The 17,903-nt window shown below is 42.1% G+C and overlaps 1 long non-coding RNA gene across 1 annotated transcript in view, besides 5 other annotated features; it reads left to right on the top strand.

The window, feature by feature from the left end:
• The window catches only part of LOC105378237 (uncharacterized), a 40,775-nt gene that overhangs the window by 5,782 nt on the left and 17,090 nt on the right, over positions 1–17,903 (top strand). The gene's annotated exons all lie outside the window — the stretch shown is intronic.
• Positions 1,782–2,384: an enhancer, noted in NCBI's record as "NANOG-H3K27ac-H3K4me1 hESC enhancer chr5:151724791-151725393 (GRCh37/hg19 assembly coordinates)". NCBI's record gives its function as "activates a minimal SCP1, AML or CMV promoter by ChIP-STARR-seq in primed H9 embryonic stem cells {active_cell/tissue: H9 hESC(primed)}" and the evidence as "EXISTENCE:reporter gene assay evidence [ECO:0000049][PMID:30033119]".
• Positions 6,389–6,488: a silencer, noted in NCBI's record as "silent region_16530". NCBI's record gives its function as "represses an Ori minimal core promoter by ATAC-STARR-seq in GM12878 lymphoblastoid cells {active_cell/tissue: GM12878}" and the evidence as "EXISTENCE:reporter gene assay evidence [ECO:0000049][PMID:35858748]".
• Positions 7,161–7,330: an enhancer, noted in NCBI's record as "experimental_82574 CRE fragment used in MPRA reporter constructs". NCBI's record gives its function as "activates a minimal promoter by MPRAs in K562 erythroleukemia cells, with activity observed for both the introgressed and non-introgressed 5:151730255 or rs114133296 variant alleles {active_cell/tissue: K562}" and the evidence as "EXISTENCE:reporter gene assay evidence [ECO:0000049][PMID:34662402]".
• Position 7,246: a transcriptional cis regulatory region, noted in NCBI's record as "Neanderthal adaptively introgressed variant 5:151730255 (GRCh37/hg19 assembly coordinates) or rs114133296 in the experimental_82574 CRE". NCBI's record gives its function as "modulates activity of the experimental_82574 enhancer by MPRAs in K562 erythroleukemia cells {active_cell/tissue: K562}" and the evidence as "EXISTENCE:reporter gene assay evidence [ECO:0000049][PMID:34662402]".
• Positions 14,465–14,634: an enhancer, noted in NCBI's record as "experimental_82576 CRE fragment used in MPRA reporter constructs". NCBI's record gives its function as "activates a minimal promoter by MPRAs in K562 erythroleukemia cells, with activity observed for both the introgressed and non-introgressed 5:151737559 variant alleles {active_cell/tissue: K562}" and the evidence as "EXISTENCE:reporter gene assay evidence [ECO:0000049][PMID:34662402]".

Genomic DNA, 17,903 nt, shown 5'->3' on the forward strand with positions numbered 1-17,903 from the left:
GTGGTCAATTTTGGAATAGGTGTGGTGTGGTGCTGAAAAAAATGTATATTCTGTTGATTTGGGGTGGAGAGTTCTGTAGATGTCTATTAGGTCCGCTTGGTGCAGAGCTGAGTTCAATTCCTGGGTATCCTTGTTGACTTTCTGTCTCGTTGATCTGTCTAATGTTGACAGTGGGGTGTTAAAGTCTCCCATTATTAATGTGTGGGAGTCTAAGTCTCTTTGTAGGTCACTCAGGACTTGCTTTATGAATCTGGGTGCTCCTGTATTGGGTGCATAAATATTTAGGATAGTTAGCTCCTCTTGTTGAATTGATCCCTTTACCATTATGTAATGGCCTTCTTTGTCTCTTTTGATCTTTGTTGGTTTAAAGTCTGTTTTATCAGAGACTAGGATTGCAACCCCTGCCTTTTTTTGTTTTCCATTGGCTTGGTAGATCTTCCTCCATCCTTTTATTTTGAGCCTATGTGTGTCTCTGCACGTGAGATGGGTTTCCTGAATACAGCACACTGATGGGTCTTGACTCTTTATCCAACTTGCCAGTCTGTGTCTTTTAATTGCAGAATTTAGTCCATTTATATTTAAAGTTAATACTGTTATGTGTGAATTTGATCCTGTCATTATGATGTTAGCTGGTGATTTTGCTCGTTAGTTGATGCAGTTTCTTCCTAGTCTCGATGGTCTTTACATTTTGGCATGATTTTGCAGTGGCTGGTACCGGTTTTTCCTTTCCATGTTTAGCACTTCCTTCAGGAGCTCTTTTAGGGCAGGCCTGGTGGTGACAAAATCTCTCAGCATTTGCTTGTCTATAAAGTATTTTATTTCTCCTTCACTTATGAAGCTTAGTTTGGCTGGATATGAAATTCTGGGTTGAAAATTCTTTTCTTTAAGAATGTTGAATATTGGCCCCCACTCTCTTCTGGCTTGTAGGGTTTCTGCCGAGAGATCCGCTGTTAGTCTGATGGGCTTTCCTTTGAGGGTAACCCGACCTTTCTCTCTGGCTGCCCTTAATATTTTTTCCTTCATTTCAACTTTGGTGAATCTGACAATTATGTGTCTTGGAGTTGCTCTTCTCGAGGAGAAACTTTGTGGCGTTCTCTGTATTTCCTGAATCTGAACGTTGGCCTGCCTTGCTAGATTGGGGAAGTTCTCCTGGATAATATCCTGCAGAGTGTTTTCCAACTTGGTTCCATTCTCCACATCACTTTCAGGTACACCAATCAGATGTAGATTTGGTCTTTTCACATAGTCCCATATTTCTTGGAGGCTTTGCTCATTTCTTTTTATTCTTTTTTCTCTAAACTTCCCTTCTCGCTTCATTTCATTCATTTCATCTTCCATTGCTGATACCCTTTCTTCCAGTTGATCGCATCGGCTCCTGAGGCTTCTGCATTCTTCACGTAGTTCTCGAGCCTTGGTTTTCAGCTCCATCAGCTCCTTTAAGCACTTCTCTGTATTGGTTATTCTAGTTATACATTCTTCTAAATTTTTTTCAAAGTTTTCAACTTCTTTGCCTTTGGTTTGAATGTCCTCCCGTAGCTCAGAGTAATTTGATCGTCTGAAGCCTTCTTCTCTCAGCTCGTCAAAATCATTCTCCATCCAGCTTTGTTCCGTTGCTGGTGAGGAACTGCGTTCCTTTGGAGGAGGAGAGGTGCTCTGCGTTTTAGAGTTTCCAGTTTTTCTGTTCTGTTTTTTCCCCATCTTTGTGGTTTTATCTACTTTTGGTCTTTGATGATGGTGATGTACAGATGGGTTTTCGGTGTAGATGTCCTTTCTGGTTGTTAGTTTTCCTTCTAACAGACAGGACCCTCAGCTGCAGGTCTGTTGGAATACCCTGCCGTGTGAGGTGTCAGTGTGCCCCTGCTGGGGGGTGCCTCCCAGTTAGGCTGCTCGGGGGTCAGGGGTCAGGGACCCACTTGAGGAGGCAGTCTGCCCGTTCTCAGATCTCCAGCTGCGTGCTGGGAGAACCACTGCTCTCTTCAAAGCTGTCAGACAGGGACACTTAAGTCTGCAGAGGTTACTGCTGTCTTTTTGTTTGTCTGTGCCCTGCCCCCAGAGGTGGAGCCTACAGAGGCAGGCAGGCCTCCTTGAGCTGTGGTGGGCTCCACCCAGTTCGAGCTTCCTGGCTGCTTTGTTTACCTAAGCAAGCCTGGGCAATGGCGGGCGCCCCTCCCCCAGCCTCGTTGCCGCCTGGCAGTTTGATCTCAGACTGCTGTGCTAGCAATCAGTGAGATTCCGTGGGCGTAGGACCCTCTCAGCCAGGTGTGGGATATAGTCTCGTGGTGCGCCGTTTTTTAAGCCGGTCTGAAAAGCGCAATATTCGGGTGGGAGTGACCCGATTTTCCAGGTGCGTCCGTCACCCCTTTCTTTGACTCGGAAAGGGAACTCCCTGACCCCTTGCGCTTCCCAGGTGAGGCAATGCCTCGCCCTGCTTCGGCTCGCGCACGGTGCGCGCACACACTGGCCTGCGCCCACTGTCTGGCACTCCCTAGTGAGATGAACCCGGTACCTCAGATGGAAATGCAGAAATCACCCGTCTTCTGCGTCGCTCACGCTGGGAGCTGTAGACTGGAGCTGTTCCTATTCGGCCATCTTGGCTCCTCCCCCCGACAATACCTTTTTAAAAAATGGATTTGGCAGATGGATCTATGGGCAAGCTATAATGCTTAACATTTATTGAGTGTAAAACTTGTTTATACCATCAATTTAAGCCCCTTTTAATACCCCTTTACATGTTATTTTATTGATTCCTCACAATAGTGCTTTGAAGAGGACCCTATTGTTATCCATTTCATATTTGAACAGACTGGGGCACATAGAAGTTATGTAAATTGCCCAAAGTCACATTATTAGCAAATACAGAGCCATGATTGGAGCTGAGCAATGTAACTGCAGGATCTGTCATACAAATTACACCCTGTATGGCCTCTCTAGAGGAAAGAGAGTGCCTTCAGGGATGGTTGAAGGCTCAGCATTTTTGCATGTCTTCCTATACTACCTGACTATATGGCTCCACGATTGCAGCTATCCCAAATGACCTCAAGTTGGGTACCTAAACTGATTGTCGAGAGGGATTCTGGAAGGATAAGGGCATGAGATACTGGTAGTCCCAGAGAAGCACCGGGAGAGTAATCCCATGGTGGCAGCAGTAGAAAGGTCTTGGAGATTTGGGTGGCTAAGGAGCCTTCTGATCATGGAGAAGCTTGGAGGACCCATCTATGAAAGGGCTTTCTGGAACAGGACTGCTGGAGAGATTGTAAAAATTGATGCACCACCTATAGAATTTACCCAGGGTTTTGGGGATGCCCCTTTCCACTGGGGGTGAACCCAAGTTGCCTTCCCGGGATATTTCCCTGTTGCTTAAGCAGCAATATAGAAAAGTGGAATGATTTCAGGCTCTAGGGTCACGCAGGCTTGGGCCCTTAGCTAAGCTTGACTCTCAGCTCTTGTCCCACCTGGAAGAGTTTCCTAATGTCTTTGAGCCCCCTTTTCTCCTCTGTGAATCTGGGGCAAGTACAACCATCTACCTTAAAGGGCTGTTGTCAGAATTAAATGAAATAATGAAGGTTTGCAAGTAATAAGCCCTTAGTATATGGTAGCTGTTTAATTCCCTCTTACCCCAAGAAAGATCATGCCCATCATTTTCAGAAATATTGCTTGACCCAAACAGGTTTTTGTTCTCTTGCCAGACTCTCTTATACTTCCTTTCTCTAACCTGCATCTTCTAACAGAAAATGAGCATTGCTTCTCTCAGTTCTACATAAACTCTGCTCCTTCAAGGAACCAGGGAACCATTTCCAGCCAGCACTTAGTAAGAAAGAGAGAGAGTAAGAAAAAACTTTAATGTAGTGGTGTGCTGGAGCTATCCTGTACTATCTCATGAAAGCCAGTTGTTAATTGTTTAAGAATTTTGTGAGCTGGTTGATTTCACTTTGCTAGCTTGAAATGGATCTAGGTGGGAATATTTATACTACAGAAATTGTCGAATATTACAACTTAGAGTTTCTCTTTTCTTTCTTCTCTTCGAGAGCTTGTTTTAAAACATTGACCAGCACACCAATGAGTGTTAATAGTTAGAAAGTGATAGTAGTTAGGAAGCATACTATTTGTCAGATGTTGTCCAAAATCTTTACATATAGTAGGTTGGTACAAAAGTAATTGCAGTTTTTGACATTCCAATACCAAAATTTTTTGCTATTACCGTACCAAAAACCTCAATTACTTTTGCACCACCCTAATACTAATTAATTCTCACACCTTTTGAGGTGGTTATTATTATCCCCATTTTGTAATGAGGGAAGTGAGAAAGTGAGTTGCCAGAGGTTATGTAGCTAGTTAATGACAGAATTGATATATAAACTAAAGCAGACTGGCTCCAAGGCCTGCGTTCATAGTCAGCTATTCCGCCTCTTGAGGATTCTTGTGAGGATTTAATAACTTATGTAAAGACTTGGCCCAGTCCTTGGTGCTTAGTAATTGCTTGATAAATATTAGCTGTTATTATTTATATCAAGAGTTCTTAAGTTTTTGAGGTCACGAAAATCTGATAAAGAAAGCTTTAAATATCCTTTTTTCCAAAAAGATGTACATTTGTTTAGTGTGTACCTAAACACACACACACACACACACACACACACACACACGTGCGCGCGCGCGGTGAGATATAACCTTAGGGGATTTCTGAACTCTTGGACACCCATTGATTCTAACTCTACCTTTTGGGGGCCACGTATAAGGCAGCCAGTCTCTCCTATTTCCCCATACTGTCTTTCAGTGCTCCAAAGATAGGGATCAAATTTCCTTTGTGTTTATCTTTTTCCAGTAGAACATCCATGTTTCTTCACCTTCTCTTCAGGGGCTGTTTGTGTACCCTCCCAAGCCACTTGCCCTCCTGCAGGTGTGCCCTAATTTCCTTTGCTTCTCATGGTATGAGACCCAGAGTTGTGTAGTCTTTTAGCCTTCTTCATTTCCCCTGATCTCTGTCTACCAACTGGTATTTTTCTAGTTCCTTTTTTCCTCTGGTGTCCTAGCTCTAGAGGACTTTACAAGTTCTCTGGCATCTAGGATATAAAGTTGAGCTACAGTTTTAACACCCCTAACTTCACACACACACACACACACACACACACACACGCACGCACCAGTATACATCTTACAATCAAACCATAAAAGAATTCTGAATATGTGAACACCTATCTAGGGGCTTCTTTACTTTCTTCATCTGGGCTTCAATGAGCTGTAGACATCTACTTTGGCTTTCTTCTGTCTTTTAAACCAGTGGCCCCCAACCTTTTTGGCACCAGGAACCAGTTTTGTGTAATTTTCCCATGGATGGTGGGCATAGAGGGGCAGGGTCAGGATGGTTTGGGGATGAAACTGTTCCACCTCAGATCATCAGGCATTAGATTCTCATAAAGAGCTCACAACCTAGATCCCTTGCATGTTCAGTTCACAATAGGGTTTGCACTTCTATGAGAATCTAATGCTGCCACTAATCTGACAAGAGGTGGAGCTCAGGCGGTAATGCTCGCTCACCTGCCGCTCACCTCCTGCTGTGCAGCCCACTTCCTAACAGGTCATGGACTGGTACCAGTCCGTCCGTGGCCTGGGGTTTGGGGATCCCCGTTTTAAACTTTCCTTGTACCCTCATTTTGCTTCCTCAACCCCAACTGCCTGACAGCATGTCTGCTCTCTAGCCTTGAATTCCAGTCTTACTTTCACTCAACAAAAGAAGAATAACAACTAATAAAAATTGCTTAGACTTTCTATGTGTGTACAATTTTGTATACATTCTCATTTAAACCCATGCAACAAACCTATGATATAGGGGTTTCAAAGGAAATGGAAGCTTAGAGGGATTAAGTAACTTGCCCAAGTTTTCACAGCTAATAAGTGGCTAAGCTAGAATTCAAACCCACTTTTAGGAGCTCTATCTTTGCATGCTTTTCTTTGGTGTGCACTGACTCCTTTTCCTGTATCGCGCATCTAATCGTGGTCTGACACATGGTCCCATCCTGAATATCTGTATTTATCACCGGGCTTTAGAAGTTCATAGTGTTAATAAGACATAAAGAGATTTCAGTCACTGGGTATTGGGGGAATTCTTGCAGGTGGAGGATCTCTCAGGATTGTGCAAATACTGCCACACAAGTCCCACCAACCCCACCCCAGCCAACCAACCATGTGCCTCACTGACTAGGTCAGAGCTCGTTAAGACTCATCTTCCCTTTTCTTCAGTCCCAGAAAGAAATGGGACTAAAGCCTTTATAGAAAATAAAGCCATCCCTCCCTGCAAAAGGACCCTGAGCTGGATTTTTGAGAGTCCAGAAAGCTTTTTGTATAAGAAATGTGATTTTTAAAAACCTGACAGGTAGGCATCCTTCCAGCTTTCTGTGGCTTACCAACGGCCCCTAGTGGCCAGTGGCTCCAAGTGCCACGAGCTGTAAGTCTTGGCTTCTTTGGTGCTAGCTGCATGCCCTGCAGAGTTCTATTGCACTGCATTAATTCCTGATCAACATATTTTGCAGTATTGGGACAGAAAAAATGATGAAGTCTAAAACTCTGGGCAAAGAAAGCATTATAATGGGTGATCAAAGCTATAAAATTGGCAGGCTTTCACGAAGGCCTCTCCCTTTTTAACATTCCAGACCACACACTTATGCAGTAGCCAATATTGTTATCTCTATGAGGTTCAGAGAGGCTGCTATGTAAACTAGGCTACACACTGGTTAGCAGGAAAGAACACCCGGGTTTGTGTGCGCACCGGTCTATGTAAACACAGGCTCTAACATTTGTCAGGCATGTCTAAAGCAGCATGTAGGTTGTTTATTGGCAAAGCAGTCATCTGGTTTTGGGAAATAATGGCAGCTACGATTTAAGATTCACTCTGTGCCAGGCACATGATAAATGCTCTTATGTGAAATATCTCATTCACTCTTCATAGCCACCACTGTGCAAGATAAACACCTCCAATTTGCAAATGAGAATTCAGTCTCAGCAAGGTCAAAACTGCCCGAGGTCACATAGCTGAAGTGGAAGAGCTGGAAATTAGGGCCCAGGTTCTTTGAATCCAAAGCAATAGCTTTCATTTACCTTAATACATAGCATGTGTGTTCTCCTTCAAGCAAATCGAAGTTGTTAGTCTTTAGCACACACTCACCAGAATCATTCTCTTCCTGTCTCCTAACCCGGCTGTATGCTGGTGAGCGTTCTGGCTGATAAGAGCTCAGGGACTGTTGGCTGGGTGCGGTGGCTCACGCCTGTAATCCCAGCACTTTGGGAGGTTGAGGTGGGCAGATCATCTGGGAGGCTGAGGTGGGCAGGAGTTTGAGACCAGCCTGGCGAACATGTCGAAACCCTGTCTCTACTAAAAACACAAAAATTAGTCAGATGTGGTTGTTACATGCACCTGTAATCCCAGCTACTTGGGAGGCTGAGGTAGGAGAATTGCTTGAACCCGGGAGGTGGAGGTTGCAGTGAGCCAAGATCATGCCACTGCACTCCAGCCTGGGTGACAGAGCGAGACTCCATCTCAGAAAAAAAAAAAAAAGGAGCTCAGCAACTGTGGACGTCTGTTGGCCAGTGCCCCTCTCAACATAAGACTTTATACCTGGGAGACTATTTTGTGTGTGCCCAATGTGCTCAGAAATCCTCTCTAACTGCTGTGGGGTGTGGGTGGCTGCTTTGGAAGGGTCATTGGCAACTCACTCATTTCCTGGAGACTTGGAGGGTTTTAGTTAGGGAGGCATGTGGACACTGCTGAGTCTAGTGGTCATTAGGCAGGCTTTGGAGTCAGGAGACATTAGGAGTTACTAAACCATTCAAGACTCAGTTTCCCAATCCATAAAATGAATCTTGTGGGGTTGTGGTAAGAGTTAAATAGGACAATACATAGGATATTCTTAACATAGCACCTGTCACAGAGTGCCTTGCTAATGTGTTCATGTGTGAGGGACACACTGTGACTCGATATAGCTCCCTGGGAAGGTTTCAACAGCAGCACTAACCACTGAGAGACCTGGCCCCTTGTCAGGTGTCAGCAGATGAGATTAGGTTTTGTTTCCCTTGAAACACAAATCAGTTAACTTACGGGTTGAAGCAAAACCAACATACTGATGGAAAAAAGCCAGAAGCAAAGAAATCCCTCTCCTAGGGATAAACAGGTGGAGTGAAATAGTGACAAAGTCTTTATTGGGAGCCACATCCCCCAAATCCCTTGCCAGGAGAGTATTGACTTTTGGTAGGAACAGGGGACAGAGCCATGAAGGAATGAATTTGCCTCAAAAGGAATTGCCATGACTTAATGGCTTTATTGAATCCTTGGTTTTTAGCCCATTGATTCCCATTTACTTTAATTCAGAGCTATGTAGGAGCTGCACCATTACTTTGCTTGGTCATATTGATTAGTCAATATCCCTCCTCCTCTTGCCTAGGGTTTGTCCTTCTTCACATATCACCATGTATCTCTTGCTCCTGTTTTCTGTCGTCATTTCCCCCATTGCAGTGACTGTGTTACATGCACATGCAGGTGGTCTTGGCAAACCCTTGGAAGGCCTTGCTAACTGGAAATAATGGCACCAGGCAGCTGAGTGGTGCCACCTCACCATTAGGCTCTTTGTGCTAGTTATAACCATGCTTTTGCTTTAGGACTTGTCTTCAAGCTTTGAAAAAAAAAAGCTTTTAATTTTTGCATTCCTTTGGATGACAATTTCTATGTAGCTGTACTGGGAGGTTTTATTTAAGGCATGTTTTTCAAATTTTAGTGTGTACCAGATCACCTGGGAGCTTGTACAAAAGGACATTCCTGGGCCTAACTACTTTGACTCAGTAGATTCTTGCCTCCTCCCCTTTTAAAAATTGAGATAAACATGACATAAAATTAAAATGAACTATCTTAAAATAAACAATTCAGTGACATTTAGTACATTCACAGTCACGTGCAGCCATCACCGCTGTCTGTTTCCCAAAACAGTTTTATTACCCCCAAGTGAGACCCTATATCAATTAAGCAATCACTCCTATTCCTCTCTCCTCCTTGCCTTTGGCAATCACTTATCTGCTTTCTGTCTTTGTGAATCTACCTATTCCAGATATTTCATCTAAGTGGAATCATACAATATTTGTCCAGTTCCTCTGGCTTATTTCTCTTAGCATATTTTGAGGTTTGCCTATATCTCAGTACCCCATTTCTTTTTATCGCTGAATAGTATTTCATTTTATACACACATTTTGTCATTTAAGGAAGGACCTCACTTGGTTCTGCAGCTGGTGGTCTTTGGTTCAGCTTTGGGAATCATTGCAGTGGAGCTGGGTGTGCCCCCAGGCAACCTGATACCTTGTCAGAGCAGATTCTGGAGAGTGCCAGGCCCCAGCTGTCCCTTGGGTGTGACAGACCTTCAGAGATGGGCCTAACAGTGGATGACCAGGGTGTGTTCAGCCTAGCAGGACAAGTATCAGGACAGAGATAGAGACCCAGGTAAACCCAGTGAAGTGAGGGTATAACAACAGTATTGCTCTCATAACATTGTTGTTTAAATTAAATAAAGTAATTTATAGTAAGTGGTTGGTATAGATCCTGGCACAGAGAGAGTAGAGTGAAGCCAAAAGTGGCCATGATTTTCATTGCTTTTCCAAAAAAGGGGTAGTGTGCAGCTGGAGTCTGGCACGACTGGTGGGTAACTCGTGTAGACAAAGGGAAATGCTCTCAGCAGGGCCAGCCACTGTTCCAGGATTCTATAGTATTTCCAAGAGAATTTATGAGAATAAGACATGGCCCCTGGTGAGGGAGAAACAGGGTACCCAGTTTCCAACATAAGACGCTTAGTCCCAGCAATAAGGCAGGAGTCTTGTCTTAAAATGGAACATATTGTCAGAATAAAAGCAGTCACAAGGCTAAACTAATCAGTATCCAAATTGCTTGTCTGATTTCCCTACTAGGTTGTGAGTACAGGGAGGGTAGGGTTTATATCTGTCTATTTCCCTGCTGTGTTCCTAGCACATAATATAGAGTATGAACTCAATAAATATCTTTTCATGGATGGAAGGATGGACGCTGTGTTACCTGTCTAATGCCTCAGGACTGATTCATATTTTCTGAATCAGTTCCTCACACTGTTGGAGGAATATACTCTGCTCTTAGAATATTTGTAAATCTGATAAAAAATTCTCTAAAGTGTGCACATTTTTGATCCAGCAGTTCTAAGTATTTAACCTAAGGAAATCCCTAGAGGATCATAAAGATTATGACTCAATAACATTAATTGTGACATTATTTAGAATAGTGAAAACAGTGGAAATAATCCCCTGTCCAACAAAAAGGGATTAGTTAGCTATATTATAATACTTATATTCAATAGTGTTTCAAAGCCATAAAAATAATGAAGATTGTTTAATAACATGAAAAAATGATCAAATTATGCAGTTAGTGAAAAAAAATGCAAGTTACACAACATTTTTACATAATGCTACTCTGTGTGTGTGTGCTTGTGAGTATAATACTGGAAAGATTTATCTTTGCTGCTGCTCTGATTACAGGTTATTTTCTTTTCAAGCTTTTTTGAGTTATTTCTGAAATTTCCAGTGTCTTTATTTTGAACCTGTGGTAATAACTTAGGTCTTTGACTTCTAGAGTGTGTCTGAACCTGCATGGGGTACTGAGTGGCTATAGCTGTGGGGATTAGAAAGCTTCAGGGAAGGGCTAGAAACACCATTAGGCAGGGCCTCTGCAACATTCCAAGGATGGGATGTGCTGTTCTTGCAGGAGAGAGAACGTTGTCCACCATCTTTCGTGTCGTGTCCTCTTTCCTCTCAGATCAAGTGTTAGCATTAAATACTTTTCAGCCTGTAGTAGCTTTGATCTACATGGAGACTGGATCCATGTTCTGGCCTCCTAACTCCTGAGATAATCAGTGGCAGATTGGTTTCAAAAAGATAAATTTAAACCTTGTATAGGATGAATTGACCATGCAAATTAATTCTGTCCTGTGTTCTGGAAGATTAAAAGAAGAAAGTCTGGGCTGAGAAAGTGCAAACGGAATTAAGTACTTCTATTTAATGGGAAACAAGATGATATCTCTTTAGGACTGGCTTTTTATATTTTCAGTCAACCGATTATAAGTAACCTCTTGTCCAGGACTGAGGCTTTGTTCCTGGGCCAAGTGTGTCTGTCTGGTGAGGTTAGGTTCTCCCCAGAGGCTCTTGGGATTTTTATACCAGTACATGACTCCTGCAGTTCCTCCAGAATTCCTCAGTTTGATAGCATCCTAGAGGGGAACATGATTTACATTTATTTTGGGACCTCCATAGAACTTACAAACCGACAGTGGTGATGTGTTGTGTGTGCTTTAAAGGGGAAGGATAGGTGCTAAAGGGAATAAGCTCCACGAGTTCTCTGAAAGTAAATGTTTCATTTGAGTCATTTTGGTGGTTGCTTCCACCAATGACCAAGGCAGTCCCTTGATTATAAAAATGGCTAAACTTTCACTGAGTGATTGTTATGGGTCTAGCATTGTGCTAAATGTTTTACATGACATATTAGAGTTCTCCAGGGAAACAGAACCGATAGAGAGAGAGAGAGTGAGTGAGTGTGTGTGTGTGTGTGTGTGTGTGTGTGTGAATAGGTGGAGAGACAGAGAAATAGAGATTTACTATAAGGATTGGCTTAAATGATTATGGAGGCTAAGAAATCCCAAGGACGGCAATTGGCAAGTTGGAGACCCAGGAGAGTCAATGTGTAGTTCCAGCCTGAGTCTGAAGGTCTGGGAACTAGGAGAGCCAGTTGTGTAAGTTCTAATAAAAAAGCTGGCAGGCCTGAGACCCAAGAGGAGCCAAAGTTTCAGTGCTATGGACTGAAGATTGGAAAAGACTAATGTTCTAGCTCCTGCAGTCAAACAGGAGAAGTGTCCTCTTACACAAAGGAAAGTCAGCCATTTTGTTCTGTTCAGGCCTTCAACTGATTGAATGAGGTCCACTCACATTAGGGAGAGCAATCTGCTTTACTGGATCTCCTGATTCAAATGTTAATCTCATCCAAAAACATCCTCACAGATACACTCAGAATAATGTTTGAGCAAATGTTTGGGTACTTTGTGGCCTTGTCAACTTGACAAAATAAACCATTGCACATGGATTATATAATTTAACTTACACAATCATCTTGCAAGGTTATCCTTGTTTTCATTCCTGTTTTACAGACGATGAAACTAAACCTTAGAAGGTTTATAGTTAGGATTCAAACCTAAGATACTGATTCTGGGGGCCACATCCTTAACCATTATGCTATAATAAATGCTTTAAAATTGATTACTTACCAACTTCTCAGATATAAATTTAAGAAAAATATAATCACTAACGATAGATTATATAAGACATTCATTAATACCTATATAATGAGTAGATAAATATACTGTTAACACCTTACATCTTCCCTCCAATAAATTCATGCTTTGCACATTTCTCTTTACTCTGGAAGAGTGTTACTGAGCAAAATTTGGTGAGTCTGTTGAGAACCCAGTTTCCCTTTCTTAATGAGTGTCCTAGGTCATACCGGTTGCATTTTAGGAATAAATAAATTGGTACATTAAGGTGTGGAGGCAGTAAAGACTCTCAGCATTGAGATATTTGTGTTGTGAAGAGATTGTGTAAACAGTTCATAGAAATTTGATTATTGGAAATAAGTGAAATCATTTCCTAGGGATTGTCTTGAGTGGATTTGGATGAGGTTAGAGTCAGCTAAGCTCATTCCAGAATCTCAAGAGTAATGGCTCTCTGGGTTGATCATTAGTAGTAAGTGATATGTCTTGGAAATATGCTATGCAAATCAAATCCTGTTTTCCTATTAATTTTTATGCTTCTCTAAGATATCCTTCAGTGGACATTACTGTATTCTCTCCCATCTCCACTCAGTTTTTATCTTTGAAATAAATGCCTACAGGTAGGCATAGAGTGCTCTGAATTTGAAGAGCTGCTTTGGAAAAGCAAATTTACCCTCACAGTTTATTATAAGTTGAGTTTTTAAAAATTATAAATTTCCTTAAATCAGGGCACATCTGGATTTCTAAGAAAGCATGGGAGGGAATTCTCTATTAAGGTGATGTGATATATTTTAATATGCTATCTATCCAACTAGTTAATACTTAGTCGACTAGGTTTGGTTGATTGTTTCAATACTTTGAAAAGTACCAAGAGAACAATAAAGCTATTTCAATTTGGAAGTAGGGGAAAGTAAAAATAAGCAATCTTGTTGAAATATTAACTTAATTAGGATTGACTCAGCTGAGAGGAATTTGGGGCTTTAGTGGCCCAGGCTGGAGGGAAAGGCTGGCCTGATCCTGGGTAAAAGTTCAATTTGTCCAAGTGGTAACTCCAGGCTAGAATAAGACCCATGTTCATCATTTGAGGGAATTCAACGCAGGCAAATTTTTTATTTGTGAGAAACCAACCCCATTCATGCTAGTTCAAGGAAAGGAGCGTTTTGAAAGTTTACAGGGGCACTTCACAAAAATGAAACAGTATACACCCTGCGTCAAAAATTGTATATTTTGCTTAAAATGTTCTAAGGATAGAATTTCCTCTTCTGTCTGTTTTTGTCTCTCTCTCTGGCTGTATTAAAAAATGTTAATAGGCTTTCTCTGGCATTTAACTTTCTGAGATAACTTCTCAGTAAGAACATGGCTGAGAATGACTGTTTTATCCCCGATTCCATGTAACTTTCAGTATAAATATTCGCTAGTCTCTGATCAGGGATTTTTCTTTTCTTTGTTCAAACTTTCAAGGTAGAACATTAGCTTGTTAGGCAGTTAGTAGGTTGGCTTTCCTTGTATTGGATTTTTTGTGTGTGTTAAGTGGGCTATAACTTCCAGTGGATCCCATGCTATAATAAAACACACCTACCTTGACTCACCCCTTCAACAGGGGCTGGTGAGTGGAGGCTTCTTCTCTGAGAAGAGATTGCAGGGTTACCTGTATCGCAAAATTATGTACCACAATGAGTTCCAGCAGGGCCTCCTCAAAGAGTGGTATTCCTCTGAATCACAAGGTGTCACGTGTCTGAGAGCTCAGGAGACAGGATTCATTTCTCAGAACAAAGGGATTGATGTATGTATGGTCAAAGCTCCAGCCCAGTAAGCTCGGGTTCAGTACAGAATCCCAATATCAGAAAGGGAATAGGGGTGCAAATCAGGAACCAAGGTGGAGATTCTGTCACATGGAGGACCAACATGATATGGGTTCTGAGAAGGCTTATAACTTAGAACCATGACTCCAAAATCCACGGGATGCATAAAAATCACCCTGAGGTACTTAATTTCAGGGCACCCGCTGAGATCTAGTAATCTGCTGAGGGAATTCTTTTAACAAGATCACGTAGTGAATATGACACAGGGTCAGGTTTGGAAACTTGTGACTTATTCGGCCATCTGCCATCTGCACACACCAGATTCTGAGCCAACCTACAGAAACAAGGGCCTTCACCTTCTCTCTTCCAGTCTGAGGCTCTTTATATCCTGCCATTGCCATTATAGTTAAGGTCACCGCAGAACTCTCTTATGTCAGAGAAGTAAGGTTTTCTTGGTGTGACTATTGGCATTTATGGCAGATGGTCTGGATAGGCTGGACTGTGGTGGAAATCTTGAGAGATTGAATTTTGAATCTGTGTGTCCATAACAGCTGAGACAGAAAAGGTTAGGCTTAATTTTTTTTTTAAAATGCTGTAAAGCAACTTTGAAGCTTTGTTGATTGTAGGGAGACCCCCTGAAACTATTGCTACGGAATAAAAGATGAAATGCTCCTGATTATTTTAAATACAAAATTGCATGCAGGATTGTGTAAAGACAATGCCAGGTTGGACCGCCAGAATGAGCCAACAGCGCATGATGTGCTTCCTCCTGCAGAGAGCCTATGAATGGACGTGCAGTCAGGGAAGTTTCACATCACCAAGATTCCTATCCCAGAAAAGCAGATGTTCATAGCTCTGGGAATGGAATGCGACGCTTGTGGAAAGCCTATAAATGGACGCATGGGGGGCGCCTGTCCATATGGATAAGATAGGGCTATAAATGCCCTCATCTTGCCATGGCTCTTCTGGGCCTCTTTAGGGTTAAGGCATACTCCCTTCTGAGAATTTCTGGTCTAACCAGTTGTCTAGCTTCACGTCCTGTTTCTATGGATTGTTTGTAACCAGCTTTTGCTGCAACTGTTACTGCTGATAAATACCTTGCTAATCATAGGTTATGGAAAGACTGTGTTTCTGTTTTAAGGCTCTGTTAGAAATTACTGATGCACACACAATATTGTAAATTCTTATCCCTGTATACTGTACTTCTGCATACAGATGTTATGTTAAAAAATTACTTCATCCCCATGTGACCATCTCACCTCATAATCAAATGACCCTAAATCCCTCACTAACCTACTCCTGCCCTCACTAAACTTAATAATAAATGCTGGTATATACAGTGCATTGTTGGCACCGCAGGACCAGAAGGCAGTGACCCCCCTGGACCCAGCTTTCACTATCTTGTTTGTGTCTATTATTTCTCGACCTGCCGATCTGCCTGGAAACAAAGAGAGAGCCCCACTGCATTGCGGGCTGCTGGCCAAATCCTGCAGTAGTTGATGATATATGTCCATGCTGGGTCTTCTGGGAACCTTACTATGCATTTCCCTAACTCCGGGACCCAGGCTAGTTGCTGAGGCAGAGGGAAAGGAGAACATGGCAAAAAAAATGCCGTGGGTAAAGTTAGTACCTCACAGTGACACACATCAGTACCGTCTATATTTTGTTGGCCAAATGAAGCCCTGATATCACCTTGGCAGGGACATAAAATCCTAAGATGGGCCTGGAAGAAGAAACCCATTCCTAAGGCCTAGCACAAAGGCCTTTGACTTGTTTTCTGCAGCGTCTCCAGTGTCTAGAATGTTGTCTGGCACATGGTAGGTATTTAAAATATGTATTGAATAAACAACAAATATACAAGAGAAAAATGATAGTTTATATTCCACTCAGGGTTCGCTTTGGTTCCTGGACACAGTTCATTTCCTAGAACATTTTAGGAAATAACCCCAGAAAGGACCATGTTTGTGAAAATTGCCTTTAATACAGATTATGAATGAGTGGAAAGCCCTTGGCTTGAGGAGACACATTAGATAGGGGCTGCATGAGTTCCAAGTTGTGTTTTATATTGGTGTAGGGGGCATTTTTTCATGTTTCTACAGAGAGTGTTTAAAGGTCAGTTTGAAAAATTGTCTGACTCTTAGAATATTAAAGGGTGAGGTGCAGGACTCATTAGTGGATTTCACAACAGATCTGAGAGTAAAACTACCAAATTAACGATTAACTTTGCAGACAGATGTTAAGGGGATCCTGTTTTAACTAAAATTATGGCTCTTCTTGGGGTTACCATTGGTTCTTCCATGAAATGGCCAAAAGACACTTAAATGGCTATCCTGGGAGACTTGGCTTCCAAATCTGTAGACACATTGAGATTAATGGCCAATTCCGTCTCCTGCTTTGTCCTCAATAAGCATGGGTCCTCAGACCCACTTCCTGCCAAGAGAACAAATGTTTACAAGTGCCCTTTCCATTTCTGGGAAATCTAAAATCTGCCCATAATTTGGCTAATTTGTAGTTGATCGTGGGGAAGATAATGAGTAGGGAAAATTGAGGGAGCAGGGGACAAGGTTGCTAGGAAACAGATTCACTTCTCACATCCAAACAAATAAACTAAAGAAATGGTGTTAATGAGCCCAGTTACAGATAGTCTCAGTTCTGAGGAAGCTGAGATACAGAAGTAGCGTTACCATGAAAAAGCATTGGACAGAGGCAAAGGCTCTGGGGAAGGGAGTGGGGCATGGTGTTTCAGCACATGGATTTTGTAAAGAGACAGACTATAAAATGAGGCAAATACTAGGCTAATTTGTTAGAACAGATTTGCTGATTAAATGAAGTAGGGAAGTTTATGGAAAGGGCTTAGCACGATATCTACATAGAGTAGGTGGTTAGTAAATACCATAATTTTCTTGAGTTCCTGTTCTAGCTCTTCTACTGACTGCAGCATTTTCCTTTCCTAGTTCAGATAATTTTTTAATCTTCATTGTGAATGAAGATGATGAATGATGCAAATTCTTATTCCACATCCTCTACAGAGATTGTTATGAGGGGAGATGTATGTAAACACTTTTTAAACTTAAAGGAATTTTATTCTATGAAGGACTTTCCTCATCATGATGCTGAATAGCCACTCCAAGGACCCAAGGAGTAATTTTACACAGCTGGTTAGGACTCTTTCTCTGCTGCTTCCTCCTTTCTCTGCACCTGAAATTTCAATCATCTTAGCAGCTGTGAACTCTGATCTCCATTTCCTCAATCCAGTAAAACTGCTGTTGTCTGCTTGACTCTATTTCTCTGCATCGGAATTTAGAAAATGCCCTCAAGAAGAAAGAATTTCGTGTGTCAAATTGGCTGTGCTTAGGGATACCCATAGGATACTATTTCTGGATATGTCTGTGAGGGTATTTCTGGAGGAGATTAGCATTTAAATCAGCGGACTGAGTAAGGAAGATTGCCCTCACTATTGTGGACAGGCATAATCCAGTTATTAAATGACCAAATAGAACAAAAAGATGGGAAAAGGTCAAATTCACTCTGTTTGAGCTGGGACATCCATCAGACATTGGTGTTCTTGGTTCTTGGGCCTTGAGACCAGTATTCACATCATTGGCTCCCTTGTTTCTCAGGCCTTTGAACTCAGAGTGAATTACAGCACCAGATTTCCTTGTTTTCCAGCTTGCAGATGGCAGATCATTGGACTTCTTGGCCTCCATAACCATATAAGCCAATTCCCATAATAAGCATCATCTCTCTATCTGCCTATTTATCCATCCATCCATCCATCCATCCATCCACCTAC

Source organism: Homo sapiens, chromosome 5 (assembly GCF_000001405.40).
Source record: "Homo sapiens chromosome 5, GRCh38.p14 Primary Assembly".
Classification (NCBI taxonomy): domain Eukaryota; kingdom Metazoa; phylum Chordata; class Mammalia; order Primates; family Hominidae; genus Homo; species Homo sapiens.